The sequence below is a fragment of the Homo sapiens genome, chromosome X (assembly GCF_000001405.40).
Source record: "Homo sapiens chromosome X, GRCh38.p14 Primary Assembly".
Classification (NCBI taxonomy): domain Eukaryota; kingdom Metazoa; phylum Chordata; class Mammalia; order Primates; family Hominidae; genus Homo; species Homo sapiens.
This window is the reverse complement of record NC_000023.11, coordinates 125,746,697-125,754,028: the sequence shown is the minus strand read 5'-3', so window position 1 is coordinate 125,754,028 and position 7,332 is coordinate 125,746,697.

The window sequence follows — 7,332 nt, the reverse complement described above, 5'->3', positions numbered from 1 at the left end:
CAAATAATTATCACTTCTTTGTGCTGAGAACATTCCAACATTCCATTTCTAGTTATTTTTTTAAAAGTCTTTTCATATCTTTAGTCCATTTTTAGTCAGATTTTTTTAATTTTACTATCTGAGTTCCTTATATACTCTGGTCATTAATCCCTTGTCAGTTTAATAGTTTGCAAAACAAAACTGCATGGTACTTGCATAAAAACAGACACATAGACCAATGGAACAGCATAAAGAGCCCAGAAATAAGCTTATGCAATTACATTCCATTCATTTTTTGACAAAAACACCACGAGCATACATTGAAAAAGGAACAGTCTTTTCAATACATGGTGTGGAAAAACTGGATATCTATAAGCAGAAGAATGAAACTAGACGCCTATCTCTCACCATACATAAAAGTCTAATGAAAATGGGTTAAAGACTCCAATTTAAGACCTAAAACTGTGAAACTACTAGAAGAAAACATTGAGGAAACTCTCCAGAACACTGGTCTGTGCAAAGATTTATTGAGTAAGACCTCAGAGTACAGCCAATCGAAGCAAAATTGACCAATGGTATCACATCAAGCTAAAAATGCTTCTGCACACCAAAGAAAACAATCAACAAAGTGAAGAGACAACCTACAGAATGGGAGAAAATATTTGTCTTTTCATTTCTCTAATAGTGTCACTTGATGCACAAAAGTTCTTTATTTTGATGAAGTCTAATTTCTCTATTTTTTATTTTGTTGCTTATGTTTTTGGTATCATATACTGAGAATTAATACCAAATAAAAGGTTATGAAGATTTAGTGCTAGATTTTCTTCTAAGAGCATTAGAGGTTTAGCACTTACATTTAGTTATTTGATTTACTTTAATATTGTACATGTTGTGAGATAGGAATCCAGATTCATTATTTTACATTTGGATATACAGTTCTCCTAGCACTATTTATTGAAGATAATGTCCTTTCCCCATGACACAATCTTGGTGGCTTATTCTAAAATAAATTTGCCTTAGACACATAGGTTTATTTCTTGACTGTCCATTCTATTCCCTGGGTGTATATGTGTTTACTTATGCCAAAACCGCACTGTTTTGAATATTGAATCTTGCTTATAAGCTTTAAAATCAGAAGTGCGAGTCCTCCAAGTTCATTATTCTTTTTCAAAATTGTGTTGGCTAGTAATATGGCTTAGCTGTGTCCCCACCCAAATCTCATCTTGTATTGTAGTTTCTATAATACCCACAGAGCATCGAGGGACCCAGTTGGAGGTAATTAAATCATGAGGGCGGTTTTCCCCCATGCTGTTCTCATGATAGCGAGTGAGTTCTCACAAGATCTGATAGTTTTATAAGTGTCTGGCATTTCGCTGGATGGCACTCAATTCTCTTGCCTGCCGCCTTACACCATGATTGTAAGTTTCCTGATGTCTCCCCAGCCACGCAGAACTGTGTGTCTATTAAACCTCTTTTCTTTATATAAAAAATTACGTAGTCTTCGGTATGTCCTTGTAGCAGCATGAGAATGGACTAATACAGCTAGTCAGTATCCCTTGCAAATCTATGTGAACTTCAGTATGAACTTTTCTATTTTTGTCAGAAGGCATTTGTGATTTTGAAGAAGTTAGCATTGAATCTATATGTGGCTTTGGAGAGTAATGCCATCTTTATGATATTGTCTGTCGTTCCATAAACACGGGATGCCTTCTTTTTTATTTAGGTATTCTTTAATTTATTTCAGCAGGGTTTTGTAGTCTGAAATGTATAAGTCTTGCACTTCCTTGGTTACATTTATTCTTATTGAGTATTTTATATTTTTGATACTATACTAAATGGACTTTTAAATTTTATTTTTGGATTTCTCATTGCTAGTTTATAGAATTACCACTGCATTTTGTGTGTTGATTTTGTTCACCGCAGTTTTGTGGAATTTATTGGTGCTAATAGTGTGTGTGTGTGTGTGTGTGTGTTTCAAGATTCTTTCTATAAGTGATCATGTCATCTGTGAATAGAGGTGAATAGAGATAGTCTTAACTCTTCCTTTTCTATTTGAATGATTTTAACCTTTTTTTTCTTGTTTGAATGCTTTGGCTATAACTTCTCATAACCTGTTGAAGAGAAGTGGTAAGAATTGCCATCCTTATCTTCTTCAAGATACAAGGGTGAAAGTTTTCAGCCTTTCACCATTAAGTCTTATGTTAGTGCTGGGTTTGTAAAGTATGTACTTCATCACTTTGAGAAACTTTTATTCTATTTCTAGTTTGTTGAGTGTTTTTATAAAATGTTGCATTTTTTAAATATGCTTTTTGCATCAATTGACATGATCATGTGCTTTCTTTACTTCATTCTGTTAATGTGGAAAATTCCATTAATTGATTTTCTTATGTTGAAACACACTTGCATTCCTCGGATAAATCCAACCTGGACATGACATAGAATCCTAAATTTTATAATTCAATTATGCTTCCAGATTTGCTTTGCTAGTATTTCTTGAGGAATTTTTTGCATCAATATTCATAAAGAATTTTGTTCTATATAATTATTTTCTTGTGACGTCTTTGCATGCTGTGAGTATTGGTGTAATGTTTACTTCATTGAATGTGTTATGAAGTATTCCCTTCTCTTCTATTTTTGCTGTTAATTTTCATATTTGTTTATCTAAATTGTTGGTGTACAGTTGCAGTTTTTATTTCAATAAGGTTACTTCAATAAGGTTAGTAGTAATGCCCCACTTTTTTTCTTTATTCTAGTTATTTATGTCTTCTCTTTTTTAACGCATTACTTTTAGCTAAATTTTTGTCAGTTTGGTTAATATTTTCAAAGTACCACCTTTTATTTAATCAAATAAAACTCTATTGTTTATTATTTCTTTATTTTGTTGATCTTCATGCTAATTGTTACTTCCTTCCTGCTGTTAGTCTTGGATTTAGTCTACTCTTATTTTTCTAGTGCCTCAGGTATAGAGTTATTAATTCGGATTTTTTTCTCTTTTAATGTGGATGTTCGTAACAATACATTTCTTTCTGAGAACTGCTTTTGTTATTTCCTATAAGTTTTGGTATGTTGTGCTTTTCTTTTTTTCTCTATGTATTTTTAAATTTCCTATGTGATCACTTCTTTGATCCTTTGGTTGTTTAAGAATGTATTGTTTAATTTTCATTTTTTGTGATTTTACCTTTTTTTTGTTATTGATTAATAGACTGATTTCTTTGTGGCTAAAGAAAATAATTGGTATGATTTTAATCTCTTAAAATTTATTAAGACTTGTTTTTTGACGTAACATATGGTCTATTCTTCAGAATGTTCCATAGGCACTTAAGAAGAATGTGTATTCTGCTCATTTGTGTTAGTGTGTTCTCCATATGTCTATTAGGTCTACTTGATTTATAGTGTTGTTCAAGTCCTTTATTTTCTCCTGTCAATTCTATCAATATTTGTTTCATATATTTGGGGACTCTGTTGCTTGGTGTGTATATGCTTACAAATATTTACATTATTGGTGACGTGACCCTTGATATGCAATGTACATTTTTGTCCCTCATAACCTTTTTCTTTCACTTAAAGTCAATTGTGTCTTGTATTAGTATAAATACCCCAGCTCCTTTTTGGTCACTATGCGCATAGAATATCTTCTTCTATCCTTTCATTTTCAAGCTATTTGTGTCTTTGGATCTAAAGTTTATTTATTTCAGTCTGCTAATTAATACATTTCATTTTTTATTTAATCCAGTTATATTTAAAGTAATTACTGATAAAGAAAGACATTCTTCTGCCATTTTGCCATTTTGTTACTCATTTTCTCTACATCACACATCACTTTTGTTCCTCAAGTTTTCCATTTCTCTCCTTTTGTGTTTAATTGATTGTTTTAGTGTAATGTTTTAAATCTCTTCTCATTTTGTCTATATTTTTAGCTGTTTTCCTAGTTGATACATTAAGATTATAATTAACATCTTAAACTTATAACAAATTATTAAATTAATACCAACTTAGCTTTAATAGTACACAAAATTATATTCCTACGTATCTTGTACCTTAAAATTGTTATTGTCAGAAATTACATCTTTGTACATTACCATTAGCATCTATGTATATTTATAGTTGTACGAATTTATTTTTCAAATCACATAAGAAATAAGGAAGAACTACAAGCAAAAAGTACAATAATCCTTGTTTTATGTTTACCAGTATTCTTTATTTCTTCATATGGCTTTGAGTTACTGTCTAGTGTCCTTTCATTTCAGCTGGAAAGACTCCCCTTAGTATTTCTGGTACAGCAGGTCTACTGTAGCAAACCTTAATGTTGTTTACGAAAGAATGTATAATATCTTGTTTCTTTGCATATCTCATAACTTTATTGGGAACTAGAGACTTGAATAATTTGTTACCTCTGGAAATTTGAAACTTCCCCCTCCTTAGTGTTTGTTGTCGCTCGGTGTCACTTGTAGTTCTTTCTTTAATAACTTTTAAAACTATATTTTAAATACTGCATTCTTATTGTGTTTGATATTTGAAGTCTTTTTCCCTTCAGCTTGTGGTTGGGTAGTGGTTTAAAATAGATTTACTTAAATAAAGAGATAAAGGAGAAGGAGGAGGAGAACGAGGAAGAGAAGGAGAAAGGGAAGGAGGAAGAAAAGGAAAAAGACAAAAAGGAGGAGCAAAAAACAAGAAATAATTTCTGACCTTCACAGAATGCCTCTTTTTTTTTTAGCACTCCTTCAAGGCTTAGCCATATTTTTAAACAACTCTTCATTAGCCTTCACTTCTTGCTTGCGATGAGCCTAAATCAGCCATTAATGAAAGCTTAGAGTCATCCCAGCTCTTCTCTGACAATTCTTCCTTCCCTGGGCATTGTATTGGCTTTCTAGGTTCCCTTACACATAAGAACTTTTCAAAGCCCTTATTCTTCAAAGCAACTATTGCCCCAAGTATTTCTACTAGGTTTTCATTATATCTGTTATTTGCTACTACTGTAGTCTTTTGCCGAAAGTGGCAGCTGATTGTTCATGTGCTTTTCAACACATTCAGGGAATGTCCTCTTCTTAGCTACTTTTCTGCCTAAAGAGAGTTTCAAGTTAGGTGAAACAAAGGCAGATGCCTTGCATCAATTCTTTAAGGAATCACCAGACAAGTTAAAACAGACAAACATGATCCTGGGTAAAAGTCCTCTCTGCTGCATGCAGAACCAGGTGCTCACACCTGTAATGCTGACTTTGATCTTCAAAATTGCTGCTACCCCATTATTTTCTACATTTTATAGATATATAATCAGAGGTCTAGGCTGAAGTCTAGAGAAGTCAAGTAAACTTCTAAGGTTTCATTGGTAGCCAATGAAGGTGAAGTATGCTATTTATTATTTTAAATCTGGGACTCCCTTATTCCTAAAATAGTAATTTTTCCATGCTGTGTGCTTCCTTATATGCACACTTAGACTCCATATTTAGCCACGCTGAACTCAATATACATTCTTTATCTCCATCTACACACTTGGTCTCTGATTTCATCCTTAAAATCGCTGTCCACATAGTCCACTGTAACCATGCTACTACCTTCCTACTATCTACCCTTTTCCACACACTTAGTTTCTCCTTTGTTTCTACTACACTTTGTGTCCATTACTGAACTATTCTTCAACATTATGCTGGAAACACACCTTAAAAATATAGATTATTGTTCATTAATTTTGTTTACCTTATGTATGAAAATAGGCAATAACAGTTTTATGTTCTAATTATTTGGTTTTATCTATTTTTCTCTCTTCTCCAGTAATACCTATTAACTGGCAGTTGGACCTCTATAACCAACCTTCTATATGCTTTATCTATTCTTCATTTTTCTCCTTTGTTCATTTTCTATGTATTCTTTTATTGCTTATAAAGTTTATCCTTTGCATCACTGATTCAATTTTCTCTAATTTCAAGCACGCTAATTATTCCTATCAAGGCAGGTTTCCTGTAGCATATATAGATTGGTGCATAGCAATAATTCAACAAATGCTAGTTATTTCCTGTAGGCGTGAGCCTGTATTCAAATTCACTAAGCAATTTAAAGGTGCATTTGGATATGGTCCATTGGAAACATACTTTATAAGTAGAATCTCATTTTCTATGTAAAAAAGGAGTGGTAATTAGGGGTTTATCCATACTGTCTGAAAAATTCTGAGGCAATGCAAGCTTCACAGTATAGCTTTTTGTTGGTCACTGAAGTGCTATTATCATAGACAATAAAGTAGTCCAGGGTATAAACCTGAATTACTTCAGGAGTTGTAAGAAATGACTACAGTATCCAGAGGGGAAAAAGTTAATCCAATGTTTCAGAAGAAAAGATTATATCAATTTTTGGCAGAATCAAAAATAAGTTTCTAATTTTTTCAACCCAGTGAGAATACATAAAATTTTTTCACATCAGTTTTTTAAATGAGACTCAGAGAGGAGATTCTGGGCACCTACACAATTCTACTATTTTCCCAGAAAAGTATATAATCAATAAGATTAGAAAGCTTAAGATTAATACTAAACCAAATATGAATTAAACGTGATTCACAAGGCACTTTAGAGTCACACAATCCCTCACAGTACTGACTGTAATATTAAACTCTGACTGTACTATGCATATAGAACTTACAAGTAGGCTGGGTGTGGTGGCTCACGCCTGTAATCCCAGCACTTTGGGAGGCCGAGGCAGGTGAATAACTTGAGCTCAGGAGTTCATGACCAGCCTGGGCAACATGGTGAAACCCCGTCTCTACAAAAAACACAATAATTGGCCGGGCATGGTGGCTCATGTCTGTAGTCCCAGCTACGTGAGAGGCTGAGGTGGGAGGATGCTTCAGCCTGGGAGAAGGAGGTTGCAGTGAGCCGAGATCATGCCACTGCACTCCAGCCTGGGCAACAGAGTGAGACACTGCCTCAAAAACAAAAACAAAAAAGTTACAAGTAATTCAAGTCAAATGGGTACTGATTTTATGGTCACTTAAAAGACCCTGGAAATTGACATTTGCCATTAGGGTGCATCATATCTTCTTTAATGGGCATTTGTCTTATTCTTATAACAAAATCCATTTGTTTCAATTTTCATAACCTGGAGCATTCTCTAATACTACTTTAATTAAAATTCAGATTTTATAACATAAAAGTGACTGGCAAAAAAATTGGGATGATGCTAATGAACTTTTTAATTAATTTTAAATATTTCTTTTCTTTATATTCTAGTTTGTTAATAAAGGTGAAAAGAATGGGTATATTTTATATATAATCATTATTGAAATAAATTGTCTTTTTCTTAACATTATTAGACCAAATTGTACATTTTCTTAATTTACAAAATATAAATTTTATATAACAACTTCTC